At 40.1% G+C, this 15527-nt stretch overlaps 1 protein-coding gene and 1 pseudogene across 3 annotated transcripts in view, besides 3 other annotated features; one reads left to right on the top strand and one right to left on the bottom strand.

The window, feature by feature from the left end:
- The window catches only part of ELMOD1 (ELMO domain containing 1), a 75633-nt gene extending 68558 nt beyond the window's left edge, over nucleotides 1–7075 (bottom strand). For all 3 annotated transcript variants that reach the window (NM_001308018.2, NM_018712.4, NM_001130037.2), the window contains exon 1: nucleotides 6813–7075. The gene's annotated coding sequence lies outside the window, so the exon portion shown is untranslated. The remainder of the gene's footprint in view (nucleotides 1–6812) is intronic.
- Nucleotides 6573–6632: an enhancer, noted in NCBI's record as "active region_5472". NCBI's record gives its function as "activates an Ori minimal core promoter by ATAC-STARR-seq in GM12878 lymphoblastoid cells {active_cell/tissue: GM12878}" and the evidence as "EXISTENCE:reporter gene assay evidence [ECO:0000049][PMID:35858748]".
- Nucleotides 6883–7022: a silencer, noted in NCBI's record as "silent region_3871". NCBI's record gives its function as "represses an Ori minimal core promoter by ATAC-STARR-seq in GM12878 lymphoblastoid cells {active_cell/tissue: GM12878}" and the evidence as "EXISTENCE:reporter gene assay evidence [ECO:0000049][PMID:35858748]".
- Nucleotides 7083–7192: a silencer, noted in NCBI's record as "silent region_3870". NCBI's record gives its function as "represses an Ori minimal core promoter by ATAC-STARR-seq in GM12878 lymphoblastoid cells {active_cell/tissue: GM12878}" and the evidence as "EXISTENCE:reporter gene assay evidence [ECO:0000049][PMID:35858748]".
- Nucleotides 11524–12322, top strand: SUCLG2P3 (SUCLG2 pseudogene 3; annotated as a pseudogene).

Below are 15527 nucleotides of genomic sequence, written 5' to 3'. Positions count from 1 at the left end.
AGGACTTCTCAGCCTCCATAGTCAAGTAAGCCAATTCCTCATAATAAGTCTCTTAATATAAATATATCTCCTTTTTTCTGGAGAACCTTCACTAATACAACCCTCAACATGGAAAAGAGATTCAGATGGCATTGTTGAAAAAGAATGACAGTTGTCCACTGTATGCTATAAACAAATACTTTGAAAAGTCAAAACACAATGCAGAGTAATGACAGAGTACACGTAGAGTACACTCAGAACAAACACATGTTCATCTTCCATCGTTGTCTAATTTGATTAGGTGTGCTGTGCAATTTTATTTTTAGGACTTGGACACAAGCCTATTTTATGGCTACTCAAAATACATATCATCATTTTGAACTAGAATTTCAAATATGATCTTAGATTATTAAAGAATACCTGGAAACAGGCTCTTTAATTTAACCTAGTGCTAGTTACAGAGCAGATGCACCTATTTTTAGTTAGATTGATTAATTACCTAGGGAATAACTAACACATGGAAAAGAATAAAATCATACATTCATTATAAGTCAAAGAAATGATGTACAATAGTTATCTATCACATATATGCTACTAAGCTGAATTAGACATTGGCAGATTCGTGGATAAGTGCCTGGGAGCTCAATTTAAACTGCAGGATAAGATTTAGGAGGTGTTTTTAAGGTCATCAGAATCAACATCCTACCCAATAAAAGCATTCTCTCTCTTTGATAGGTGGCCCAAAATGCATCACTTTCAGTACAGTATGTTATATTTTTTGTTTCTGACCTTCTTAGATCTGGGCTCTATTTATCTGTGAATCCAACCAAAGTATAGCATTAATTTCTTCTGTACTGCTTGCTAACGCTCAAGTGAACTAAAACTATTTTTTGAAAACCAAACTGTTGGTAAACTAGGACTTCTACACTATGTCCTTAGCAAGTGATTTTAGAACCTAAATGAACTTCACATCCATCCTTTTAAAATATAATCTTAGTTCCAGTGCTTGTTCTGGGCTAAGAGATTTCAAATTTAATCCTGATTGTCATCCAAATTCTCTATTGCTTTGAGCTTTGCATTATGATCTATGTACATCTGAGTCCTTGATAAAATTGTAGAAATGTCATGGTCAAATAAAGAGCTGTAAGGTAGACCAACAGAAACCAGCTTCTATGTTGGCTTCCATACCTATGAACATTCTTTGGATGTAGCTGATCAACCCAGCTATGACACTACATTCCAGATCTCATTTCTGCCCCTCACCCATAAAGATTACTCAATATTCTAGCTGATAAATGTGTGCTAGAGGGATTGTGTATATATAAAAATTTGATAATTCTGCCTCTATTTTAAATATTCCAGGTTATCTACAGTTTAAAGGAATAGTAGAGGAAATTTTTGGTACAGCATAAAACTCTTTAGTGAAGTAAAAACTATAACTCAACCCATCTGTTTCATAAGTCTTGATTTTAATATATTGGATTCACATATTGGGCTACATATACATTATCCATGAGACAGAATATGAAAGTCAAAATTCTATGTAAAGTATTTTAATAAAGGCTTTTAAAATTATGACTAATGATGTACATAATAGGCATTTTAATTTAAATAGCTTTGATAAATGTTTATCATTTTAAGAGAATGTACAATTGAGCTTCTCAACTAAAAGCAATTATTTAAGTTTTTGCTCATTTCAGTGGATTATAAAGCAAAGGAAATCTGAAATTAACATGTCAGTGTTTATGGAATATGGAATCTTCAGAAAATCTGGCTTCCAAATTCTGAAGAGCGGAATATTCCTATTCTTTTAAAGGAAAAAGTAAGAAATGTACAGTAAATTCATTCCAAAGATTGATTAATTCACATTTTAAATATTGATAATGCCAACTGGTAAAGTAAAAAAGATTTAGGGAACAGAGTTTCTGATGTCACTGATGATATCTGTTAAGTCAAAAAACAGCTGTGAGATAAATAAATTATTAGTTTCATTATGAATGAAACCTTCAAAACATATGGTAGCCTTTCACCAACTACTTGTACACAAAAAAAATAAAAAATAGAAAGGAGAGTTATAACAGCTGAAATGAGCTCTTAAAACCAGCATTCTAATTACCCAAGTCCTAATCCCAATAATTAAAATGGAAACATTTAAAAGTTATGTAAAGACTTTTGAATCTACAGTTATTGCCTTGCATGAGACTGATTTTTTAAAAAGGCTTAACAAGCTCTCCTTAGGCATTTGCCACAATTATTTTGCCTTGCACCAAAAAAGCAAAAAAAATCAAATTGTGAATTATTTTGATGGCATCTTAAATATCATATAGAGTACCCAGACATTGTACAAATCATCTACTTTCATTGAGAATAAAGTTATTCATCCCTTGGAACCATAGAAACACTTAAGAGTTTATTTTATAGATACTGAGATTAGGGCTGGCACAATATTATTTTTTTAATTTGCATACCTTCCATTTTACAGCATAGAAACTGATATAAAATATGACTTGCTCATGGTCAGCATAAGTGAGTTGGAAGGTTAAAAGCTCCCAGGATGAAAGAACATACTGTCTTCAGAATCTTTAAATTCAGAGTATCCACTGAGGACTTAGAATATAAAATGTAAATTGGGCACACAATTTCAGTTAAGGTTCTCTCTGGGTGATATTCCACATAAACTGTCATTGAGGATTACTGCAGTAAGCCTTTCTTTAATAAGCCGTGTTCATGCGAAGCCTTGCTGAAAACAAAACCTATGGCCTAATTGCCTTGAAATTTTAGCAACATCAATACATTCTTGATCATATTTTTTTATCATATACTATCAGAATTATAAGGCAGAATGTGTTTGGCAAACATTGCAAACAGGAACAGTAGAAAAACCTGAAGTAGAACTGTTTTCTGCTCTGTTGAAAGGATAATCATTTGAGAAAAAAGACCCTAATGAGCTACTTAGTTATAAGTTTTAGTATAGGGTAATTTTTATAATTTTAAGACCTTATTATAAAATTGAAGTGGAAATTTAACCACACATATGGACACTCAAACACATGAGGCTCTTCTGAAGGATGGTTCCAAAAAAAAAAAAACAGATTTATTGACAGAAGGGCAATCTAGAACGACATTGTATTATCAGTTGCTGGAGTCTGCAAATTGGAATCTTCAAGAAATGAGTAACTGTTCTCTACATGGACTGCAGTGGTTTGATCATCAACTTTCCTGGAAATTTACCACGTTATTCAATAATGAAAGTAGCTTCTGGGTCTTCAAAGACACACATGTATGTGGTGTGCCAGTTTTTTGGAATTAACTGCATTTGGAACATTCTGACTAGGTCCTCTGTGGTACTACAAGCATAGAGTCATTTTCACATAGTGCTATTTCTGTAAAATGTACACTCTTTCCATCATCAGAATCTAGTTTTTTAAAGATAGCTGGATCAAATCAGAAATGATCTCAATTTAATTTCTTTTCCTACTTGAAGCAACAGATTTGCTAAAACCAAGACATCTGCTTATCTTATTTCAGAAATTTGTGCCAAGAAGAAACTGACTATTGATCGGCATCTCAAATATTATATTTAATTATCTACTTTTATATAATTGTAATAAAACATTTAAATGATATATTCCAGTATTGTGTGATGACAACTTTTTACCTGAGGAGACCAAGATGGTAACAGAATAGTAAACTAGCACTTAGGGTATGAGTCAAGAGCAGATCAATTGCTATTTTAAATGCACTGAGGTCCATTCACCGAAGTACCATTTGCTAATTCCTGCACTTGTCCCTTTTCAGCTCTCTCTTCCATTCCCATTGGCAACTATTTAAAATCTTTCTTTCAGAATCCCCCTCCCTTCCCTCATTCTCAGCAGGCCACTCTGTCCTCTCACTGAGGCTATCAGATCAAATCCTTCAACTTCCAGCACCACTCTACTAACTATTAACACAGAGATTTTTTTTTTTTCTCATTTTCGCCCAGGATAAGATCTCGCTCTCTTATTCAAGGCCAGCCCTGTCAAAACTGCTAGGCGTCTCACTCCCTGACTACAGCTGCCCAGCATAATTCAGTGCCTCTTCTAGGCTCCTACAGTAGACACGCCCCTCCACCACCACCATAAACACACACTACTGGCACAGCAACTCCCAGAACTTATGATGCAGATCCCTCCCCCTGCCCCATTTCCCCATGTCATCTTTGCATCCTTGGCACCTTCCACTAAGCCTAGCAAGCAGAGATACCCAACCAATATGTGTTGAAGTGAAACTGTTCACTTTTAAGCATGAGTTATTTTCAAAAGCTTGAACCAGAACTGAGCTTGTCCCAGATTGTCTGCAGAACAGCATATGATTTCTGCTCCACTTTATTTTTTCAACCCATAAATGACCCAAAAAGGAGGAATGAAACATTTCCAGTAACTAAGGTTGCCAGAAAAATACAGGCTGCCCAGTCGAAACTGAATTTAGGATAAACAACTAATAATATTTTGTAGTATAAGTTCGTACCAAATATTACATGGGACATAGGTAAAAACAATAATTCACTGTTTATCTGAAATTCAAATTTAACTGGGCAGCCCACCTTTTTATTTGCTAAATCTGGAAAACCTAACAGTGCTTTGTTAAAAATTCTCAGAGGACTCGGAGAACGCTTCCTTTAATGCACCTGGGGATTTGTATGCAAGCTCCGCAAACTTCTCAATCATCCAGATTTCATGTCTGTTAATGCAACTAGGTTTCTTTCTGAACATCTCAGTAACGTGCTTTAAGAAATGCTGCTTAATTTATTACATGACATTTTCACTTATTTTGTCCATTTCATAGAATTTTTCTTATAATACAATTTATCGAAGATTTTACAAAGAATACTGTAATTTTGCTTAAGATCTCTTGGAAAGCTAACATTTATAGAGTTATTATCATGCCTCAGTTAAGTCCTGGCTGCAAGTATTAATTTTTGAAATTTTCATATTTTCAATTAAATCAGCAGAATGCAAAAAGAGAAATAAACAAATCTTTGATTTGGAGATTTATTTTCTTCATTAATCAAGCACAGCAATACATAGTATCCTTACTAACAGCCTTGCAGAAGCAGCCTGGCAGGCGGAGGTGGAGCCTGTGATGTAACTGCGGTAGGTCTTTGTTGGAAAAGCCTTCCCTAAATGTAAAACATCTGTAAATTGAAGCACTTCAGCTTCACTGTGCATGGGCTGGCAAGATTAAAGAGTTGCTTCTTTCAGCATCCTGTACTGGAGGCTTAAAATTTTGTTCCACAGAGGAATTCCTTATAGGTCTTTACGAAGATTACGTATCTATCTCACCAAAGCTGGGAGAAAAGCAGGCTTTTTCTGCAAAAGAGAACCATTTCGAGTACTGATTGCTGTGTGTGCTGGTTTACTGGTAAATGGTGGTGATGCAATGGAAGTTATAACCCAAAGTGTAGGAAGACGCCCTACAACCTGTTCCAGTCCTCAACGTTCCCTACGTTAATGGGTTCTTCTTTCAGTGTTCTTGACAGTGATGTCTTACAGAGAAGACATTTATTTCTTCTTCCTATGAAAAAGATTAAGATGAGAGAAATACCTCCCAATGTAGATACAAGAGTGTGCCTTTGGCAAAATACCAACTAAACTGACCCCCGAGAAAACTTCTGGGGGAGGGAATGACTAAGTCTGCTGTAACTACGTGTTGTCATAATAGGTTAATGAATTAAGACATTTATCCCAATACAAGCATACTACCTGCTTTCCACCATATTGGCAGCACCAGTTAAGGACGGTTGTCAAGCCACCGGCACAAAACGTATACATTGCAGAGATGCAGAACAATGCCTGGATGCCTGCCCAAAATTGGTCTCTCCAAATGACAGACTCAATTGATAGTACCAATCTACGGCCCACTGGGGGTTAGCAGCGTATTTTCCTAGGTGGTGGGGGAAAGGGATGAAATGTGGAAAGCTCAGGGCACTGTGCAGAGCAGAAAGGCTGACAACATATTCATTAAACTTGATCTGAAGCAAGTGAGCCCGTGAGGTCGTTCCTGAAATATTCATAAGATGTGTTACCGAACTCGCCGCTTAGAGGTTGAGCATAAACACTGAGTCAGAACAGCCCGTACCCACACTTGGAAAACAAAAAAAAGCACCCACAACAGCTCACCCCACCACCACACTCCACTGCTCTGCTTTTAACAGCCCCGTCAGCTGTCAGCTGTCACTCCCCACTCGGCTGTCCAATTCTACCTGCCCGGGAAAGAGATGCTCCAATATTGAAGTGCGGAGTTTCCCAGCAGTTGGAGGAGGCGCAGCTCAACAGCCCAGCCGACCGCTCCTCCCAGCTCGCTGCGCGGAGGACCCCACAGTCCGGCGGCCCCGCAGCCCGGCTGCCTAGCTCCTCCCTGGAGACCGAAGCCCACAAGGCAAGGGGTTCCCAGGGACCCAGACCAGCCCCTCGCCCCAGCCAGGCCGCCCTTGTCCCGCCTTCCATTTTGGCTCTGTCTGGGATCCCTTCCCCGAGCCCTCGGCGTTAGGTCGCTAGGCGACCTACGCCCGGGCCGAGATGCAAACAGCCTCTCGCGCCGACCTGCAGCCTCTCGGGTGTTAATTGGGAGGACAGGATAGAAGGGGAAATCACTGTCCTGGGTGACCCCGGAGCCCCTGCACCAAGGCAGAGTGCACTTTCATTCCCGTTCCCTCTCTGCCCCCGATGCTTAGCATTTCTGCTGCCTCCCAGGCACAGCGCAGCTTGCGTGATGCCTCGCGTCCTCGCCGCACCTCTCTCCTCCCCAAGGGCATTCGCCCCTACTCCCTAGGCTCCTCTGGGGTCGCCAATCACCTGGACTCTGGCGGCGGTAGGCTCAGCAGCTCCCGGCGCGCGGCGGCGTGGTCTTCATCTCCGCCTTCCCCAGGCGCTCCGGCTACGCGCTCCGCGGCGGCGAGCGACGCGCTCGGTCCCGGGCGCCGAGGCTGGACAGGGGCGGCCGCGGCTGCCGCACTGGCTGCGGGCGCGGAAGGGGCGGGGGCGGGGCAGGAATCTGGGTCGCGTGGAGCGGAGCAAGCCGGGATGCACCCGGGGCGGCTGGCGGCGAGGAGGCGACCGAGAGCAGCGGGGGAGGGCGTGCAGAGGCTTCCCTGGGAGCACGAAGCGGGCGGCTACTGAGCATGCCCAGTCCGGGAGCCGGGGGCGCGGGCGCGGTGCTGGGGGAGAGAGCGCGGCACCCAGTGCCGGAATCTGGGGGGAAAGGGTTAAATCTGCGGACCCCGCTGCTGTGGGAGGTGGCTGGTGTGGCCCAGTTTAATTGCTCCCGGGTGGCCTCCCTGGAGGAGCCCACGACAGGAAGATGGTGAACCTGAGATGACCTGTCAATGGGATTCCCAGACAGTCCGGGCAAGGTGTGTTCCCCGCCCTCTCCCTGGATAATTGTCCAGAAGTCAAACTTTGTTTTAGTTCAGCTCCAACCTCCCTCGTCTCACCGAGCACCCAGTGACTCTTCCAATCCTGATCCCCACCCTTCACCTGCCTTCCCGGGACTGCAGAACCCTATCCCTCACCCCAACCGGCAGCCCCCGCCTTTCCCACTCCTGGCCCAGTCGGGTCAGATTCTCAAAGAGCCAGCTCTTTAATTAGGTGTAATTGAGAGATCGTGTCAATCCTGCGAGGTCCATATCTGCATTTCAACAAGGGCTTTAGAAGCAATACCGTAACCCCGGGGTTAATTATAACAGGATGAATTATAGACACCCTCGTCCGGGGCTGTTTGGGGGAACATTGCTTCGTGGGGCCCCAGAAGCCACTTCATACAGACAGAGAGAGAGAGAGAGAGAGAGAGAGAGAGAGAGAGAGAGAGAGAGAGAGAGAGAGAGAGAGAGAGAGAGAGAGAGAGAGAGAGAGAGAGAGAGAGAGAGAGAGAGAAACCTGTGCCTTCCGGATTGCATTTCATGTTTGATGAAGAACGTTTTCTCCATAGCTAATCAAAAAAGTCTCTTTAATGAGGCCGCATGGGGTTGGGGAAAGACCAAATGAGCTTCGAGGTCGGCGCTTATTTTAGTTTCATTCATCACTCCAAGCCGGTTACCTGACCGTCTTGTGCCTCTGTTTCCTCACCTGTAAAACAAAGGGTGGTTAATACCTACCTCTGCGGGCTGTTGTGAGGATTACTTGGGCAGCTGGCGGCGCGGAGCAGCCTGGATACCAAAGCATCTGCCTGTCCCGCAGTGGATGTTCCCTGAATAAAAGTCTCTGCAGGTTCCACCTCCACTATTCTGTGTTTATGAAAAGTTGGGTTAGTGATAATCCTTAAATGCTGAACATTTATCTTATTTCCTCTTCACATTAAATGACCTTAAAGCCTTGACCTTTCTGATTTTTTTAATCATTGTTAAAAGCATTAGCCACTATTTACTTTTCTTTCTTTTCAGGGAGATATGAAGGATACCTCCCTGAATAAACGTCTTGGAAAAAGATAGACCTTTGGAGGGAAAAGCTTCTCGGGAGAGATTCATTAGGGATAGATTAATCCACCTGACAAAAGAATTTTACTCCATAGTCTTTTAAACGTAATTTGCTTGCATCTCCCTGTGGTCCTTGTTTCACAACTATTGCATGAAGTAATGTATGCCTGTATGGAAGGAAATTTACTTCCCATGCATACTGTTGACTATTTAAGTATCAGAATTCAAAAGATAAACTTTTTATTATCCCCCAAACATACTATTTTTTTAATAACACATTGCTTTATTCATGGTGTTCCACCCTTTCTGAAATACCATTCTCAAAAAAAAAAAAAAAAAAAAAGAAATACCATTCTCTCTCATTCTATTTCATGAAGTGCTACTCACTCTTCAAGCTCAAATGTCACCTTCTCTCTGAAGCCTACCCTGAACCTCAAGACAGAGTGAATGCTGTGCTCTCATAGCACCAGTGCATACTGCTATCACAGTACTCATCACAGCCTATCACTGTGGTTCAAGCAATGTAAAACTACTTACTGAGCAACTGTTATTTGCAGGCGCCATTCTACATGTTAGGAAAATAAGAACAAACAAGACAAAGTTCCTGCCCTCATGGAACTTACAGTCTAGTTGAAAAAGACAGAAAATAAACACCTAAACTGTAAATAATCACTAAGGACAGAAGTCTAGTAATTCTGTTAATTTTTGTCTTTGTGTTATCCATCAAATTACGCTATAGAGTCTTGACTCATCCTTCCAAAAAACATCAATAAAAATATTAATATTGGCTCTAGGCCAAACAAATGACATGGACATGGATCTCTGCCAGTTTGTTGCTGAACCAGTGACTTTTACTCCTTTCAGTTGATTCCCTCAGCTAAAACTTTCCTAAACTCAAACCACTCAAGGTAGGTAGCTGCAATCCCATGTGATGAATGGAAAATGGTAGGGGAGGGCTAGAGAGTTTAATCTCCACAACAAATTATATCCTTTATCTAACCTTTAGGAATGGCATTTCTAAAATGTCCAGAATCAACCTGGATCCCCAGATCTCCTGCATCCCAAAAGTCTCTTCCAGGGTCTTGCACACCACTCCCACCCTCTCACCTTTTCACCATCTTTGGCCTCTATTTATGTCAATAGTTATTCTCTGTCATACATCTTCTGTTTGAATCTACCTACTGTCTGAATGACAAGCTTTTCTCTCTGATTCTCTTATTGTCTAAGTGTGAGGCAGCCTTGGTATCACTTAGAACTGACTTCTTCAAAGCATATTTGTACACATGTATGCCATAGCAATTAGAGACAATCTCGCCACTGTTTAATGTGAGTAATTCAAGGGGAGGGTCTCATTCATCTTTGTATTACAGAACTTAGCAGATGACCAATATGTAATAGATACTCAAGGAAAAGTGTGAAAGGAATGAATGAATGTAAGCAGGTTCTCAACTCTATGTGGCTCCTTAGACTATAGTTCTTTTCTAATTGGTTTTCTTGCTAACCCTAGAATTGCTTCACCAGGATCTGGCTCAGTTTTTCTTTTCATAATTTCTCTTCCACCACAAATCCACAGATTTCTCCACCTCTGGGTCCTGCATTATTTTGGGATAAAAATACCTATTGAACAGATTAACATGCAGTCAACAGAGAGGGTATTTGAAGAAACTGAGATCATGTGATGTAGCATTTACAGGTAATGAGTGAAGAATCCAGAGAGGAGAATGTTGTGCCTCTACAGCCTCCCCAGAGTTACAGCCGGAGAGCTGAAGAGGAAGGGGAAGAGCTAGGAGATGCTTTGTCATCAGCTTAGACTCCATACTGGCCCATTACAAGTGACACAGAATTTGAGTCTTTTCCAGACAGGTGGATATATTTCCTTGCTCAGAAGATCTGTTACTGAACATTATCATTTAGAATTTATTTGACTATAAATGTCCTCACCTAGAAATGTCTTCCTTTAGCAAAGGGTAGATTGAGCAATGGACAAGCAAGTTGGAATTTCCTGCCTGGATCATTTTGTGGGTGGGGTGGAAGTCATGGCCCATTTATGTATTTGTAATCTAGCACTGGTCTTAAGCACTGTGGGAGGAAAGTATTCTTCGATGTATTGGCTTCATAATAAAACTAGAAAGGGAATCTTTGGACTTAAAAAGCATGAAGTCTTGTCTAATTTTGCCTAATTGTTGTGTAAAGCTTAGAAATTAATGTAAGGCCACTCTGCTTTCCAATGGAATGGATTTTATAGGCTTATGGTATTCTGGACGTAAAACCACAGCAGCAGCTGGATTCAACATGCTCATTAATATCTATAGTGATAAAATTGTGACTGAGATTACATGAGGGTTAATCATCATGTTAGAGAATGCGTTAAACTAAACAAACTAAGACTCTCAGACATGCTGCTGTGGCAGTCCTCTAAATGTGATCTCGAGAGGGTTTCCAGTGGCACAAGGACTCATCCAAACCGTAATTCATGTCATAACCATTTATTAAGCACTTAGTATATATAAGGCACTATACTAGATACTGGGGATACAAAGCTGGATAAGACACTATGATTTTCAGGAACTCAGATCTGGACAGAAGCATACACACCGCTCCCTGCCCCAACACACACACACACAATGTAGGCTTTTTCTCAAGGTTGGTTTCCAATGTAGAATTAAATCTGTATGAAGTACCCTTCTCGCTGGGCATGGTGGCTGTTTCCTATAGTCCCCATTACTTGGGAGGCTGAGGTGGGAGGATCAATTGAGCCCAGGAATTTGAGACCAGCTTGGGCAACATAGTGAGACCCATCTCAATAAAATGAGGAAAAAAGGTCCCTTCTTCTCTCATCTCAGTTACCTAGTCAGACTCCTCTGTGCCTGGTTTTTGTTTAAGGTGTCATTCTCCTATGACAATGCAGGTCAAAAAATTTTGTGAATGCTGGTGCTCAGGCCCCACTCCTTTCAGAGAAGTCCAAGGGAGTTGAATTAACATCTAAAAGATGGCTGCTCCTGCAGGTACCTAAGAGCAAGAAACTGATGTCAGAAAACAGGGTAAAAGTTAGAATATTTCGTAACTGGCACTGGGTGTGATGTTCCCACAATAAAGTTTTAATGGGCTAATCCTGCAATGGCCTTTACTGATGGCAGCCTCCAGGAGAGGCGTTATAAGTGGCAGCTTCTTACCGGAATTTATTTTTAAGGAGGAAATTTACATTTTGAGGGCATAGAGAACAGTCAAGTTTAGTAAAGGGGAGAAAATGTAGGCTTCTACAGGTCTACAAAAATCAGGCTTAACCAGCTGTTTTACTGCTTCCTGAAATTATATGCTACTTAGCTTGAAGTGAAACCTTTGGTGAAACTCTGGAATGATAGGTTGTCTATTTTGATGTCATGATAAACCTTGAGGACAATGCAGAATGTCCACAAAAAACATATTTGGCATGGCCAACAAATTCAAGGTGTGTCTATCGAAAATGAAGCAACCAGATATGATCTAAAATTAAAACTAGATGGGAATCCTTACTAAGTGATGCTGGGCCATACATGGCTCTCTGAGACGTTATTACCCTTAATGATCAAAGCCCAGCCAACTTCTTAGATATTAGCAGTAGTGTAGAGGAAGCTCAGGTGTACTAAACATTTAAATTGCTCATTGCTGATCCTAAGTTTGAAATCACCGTCAACATTGTTTTAGGTGTGATAGTGAATTTTGCTGTCATTGCCAATGGCATCATCAAACACTGCTGAGAACTAGAACTCATGGCCCCTCTGGTGGTCAAGTTTGAAGGATTCAATGTCCAGGGGCCTTAAAATATGCTTAATAGCATCTAACTAACTCCCCATTACTTATGGCATTGACTTGGAGGATACAGCTAAGAAGGCTGTGGCCAGCATGGCAAAGAAATAGCCATGCTTCTTCTTTCTAATCCACTGGGAGGAGAAATCTCCATCCTAAAAAAAGGGGTGAATATCATCACTGAGAAAAAAATATCTATCCACTTGGGGAAAAAGGGGAAGGTGTAGAAGAGGGTCAGTAATCAGTAATAAAAAATCTTAAAGCTGTTCTGTATTTTCATGAATAGATATACAGATAGCCTAAATAATTCTGATTTCACATACAATCTTCATTAAAATAATGGTCTGTTTTTGCATGTTATGTTCTTTATCATGGTAAACCTGTCCATAGACAGTAAGTACTTGGCAAACAACGTGGATATAGTGAAAACTTTGAATCAGGCCCTAGTTATTTAAGAGAATTCTGCTGGACGTTTAGTTTAGAAGAATTAAAAAACTAGAGACAAAATCTCAGGCAAAATTACATTTCAAACAGATGGCTTGGTCATATTAAACTATTGAAAGGACACGACTAATACATTCTAACAATAGTTATTAGGCATTACAACATTTTAACAAGTTTCTTATTCTGGTATGTATGGCAAATTTGTGAGGTTGTTTTATTCCAAAATATTTTCTAATGCAAAAAATCCACATTTATACCCCACATGAGGATTGTATGATTTGACTTAATCTTTCTACTATTTACCTCACAATAAACATAAACACTAAGGCTTATTTGTGCCTATGGAACAGAAGTTTATTTTTATCTCAAAACTGAAGAATTCTGTCACTTTTGTCACCCAGCCTGGAGTGCAATGGTACGATCTCGGCTCACTGAAACTTCTGCCTCCTGGGTTCAAGCGATTCTTGTGCCTCAGCCTCCCAAGTAGCTGGGATTACAGGCATGCACCACCACGCCCAGCTAATTTTTGTATTTTTTAGTAGAGATGGTGTTTTGCCATGTTGTCCAAGCTGGTCTTGAACTCCTGACCTCAAATGATCCACCCACCTTGCCCTCCCAAAGTGCTGGGATTACAGGCCTGAGCCACTGTGGCCAGTCCTCTTTTTCTAGAATCTGCCAGCTTGTGGTAGAAAGATTTTAAAAAGTAATAAAATGTGTTCTTTTCCTTTTGTTTACATTTTGAAAAAAAATTTTTAAATATTTTTATAAATTTGAATAAAATCCTATATTATATGAGCTGTTAGCAACAAATTCTGTACTAAAGCAAAGAAAGGTAATCTTGCCACTTTGCAGTTATTTTCATAAGTCTAAAGCAAGAAATTTCCTCCATATTTTTGAAAATGTGAGTTGGTGGTGTCCTTTAATAAAGTCATGGATGAATGGATGGATGATGAGGGACAGATAGGTGAGTGAATGGCTGGATAGATGGAGAGAGAAAGGGAAGAATAAATGAATAATGTAACTCACACATGGATAGGGCATTCATCTGTTCAGAATTTTCTGAGATCATCTAGATTTCAAATATTTTCTCTCACTGTCAGATTGTGTTTCAGACAATAGATCTCAATTTTTGGTTTGTAAATTTTAATATACAAAATATACATGGAGACATTTCTCCTGCTTATTTACTATGGAAACTGAAAAAGATGAAGATTACTGTGACATCCTGTCTTCATTTAACACTTGCTGAGTGCTATGTGCTAGGTTCTGGTGAGCACTGGAGATATGAAGATAAATAATGTGGAGACTGCCTTCAAGAAGCTCACAGCTTGGTAGTAGAAGAAAGTGATGGAAGCAGATAAACAATGCAAAGAAGTACATGGTGGACTAGAGATATGAACAGCTTTCTGATGGGAGCCCATTGGAAGGAGTGTTTATGATCCATTTTTCTTTAGTATGTCCCAGAATTTCCTACACACAATAAAAATATTCCACCAAGGAGCATGCCTACTCTTAGCTCAGTGACACATCATGACAGTGCCCTGTTACTCATGCAGTACAAGTATGTAGGTCACATAAAAGTCTGTGGCTTTACATTTCATGGCATCATGTATTGAAGTGTACTAATCACAATATAGAGCAGCCTGGAGCAATGTGCCCATGAAAGTTTTGACTTTTCAGCTCTTGAAATTCCACATAACAGCTGTGTTTAGAACACCTGTTCTTTGCTTTTTTACTCTCGAAAGGGCATTTCTTCTATGAAGCATCTCTGAAACTCGAAAACGTTATTTATGACTTCACCAGGATTAACTTCCTTTACTTCAATTCAATAAGATTTCTTGAGTGCCTACTATAAATAAGACACATATCTAGAGAGATTACACATGTTTAGGTCCTAAAAATTGGTTGTAGCCCAAATATAATAATAAAATTACCTGAAGGTAATAAAAAGGGATAAAAATAACTAACATACATGCTCTTACTATGTGCCAGGCACTATCCTAAGCACTTTACATATTAACTCAATGAAAATGACATAGGGGGCTCCCACAAGCCTCTGACTTGATTGTTTTCTATGGTCTTCGGAATAAAGGAGATAAGAGATTTTGTTGAATGTACAGAGAAATAAAGTCCCCTTTTAAAGTCCCTTTTTTACTTGTCAGATCACTTTATCTGGTATTTCTTTAGCGCCAGTATAGAAGGCACTACCGTAGATGGTAGAATTATCAGTAATTTTTAATGGCAGAGAAGCAGCCAGTGATAATAGGGAGAAATTTGGAGGCTCAGGAGGCACCAGTAGGTGAACAAATTTGCCTTTTTTTTTTTTACTTATAATGTCTATCCTTTTATGAAAATAAGAATTGTGCTTTAGTTAAATAGAATTCAATTATATTTTTCCTGTTCCCTATTTCACTCTTATCTCTAGATCAAAGTTCTGAGTTACTCGAGTCTCTCATATGTGAAAGTAGACAGGTATCCTAAAATAAGAAAGGAGGAGGACGAACACCCAAGAGAAAAACAGAAATTACAACAAATGCCATCACACTCTCAACATCCCAGTGCAGAGTCAGCTTCAAGTGAGAGAAGTAAGTTGCAAAATTACCCGCAAAGGCTTTTGTTGTTGTTGTTGTTCTCATAAAAATGGCAGAAAAATTCACTAAAGAGCGGCTAGTAGCTCAATCTTAATGAAACATAATTCATAATTCCATGGAATATTGGGGACATGAACTAAAGATATTTTCTTCCGTGAGTGGAGAATTTGGTAGAAAATTTCTAGCACATCTCGTTATGTGGATGCTGTCAAACCTGTAGATGGTCTTTACCTTCTAGTTGAAGCTGGTTTTTGCTGAAAGGGAAGAAAGGGTCCAGA

Source organism: Homo sapiens, chromosome 11 (genome assembly GCF_000001405.40).
Source record: "Homo sapiens chromosome 11, GRCh38.p14 Primary Assembly".
Taxonomy (NCBI): domain Eukaryota; kingdom Metazoa; phylum Chordata; class Mammalia; order Primates; family Hominidae; genus Homo; species Homo sapiens.
This window is presented reverse-complemented; position numbering and strand designations above follow the sequence as displayed.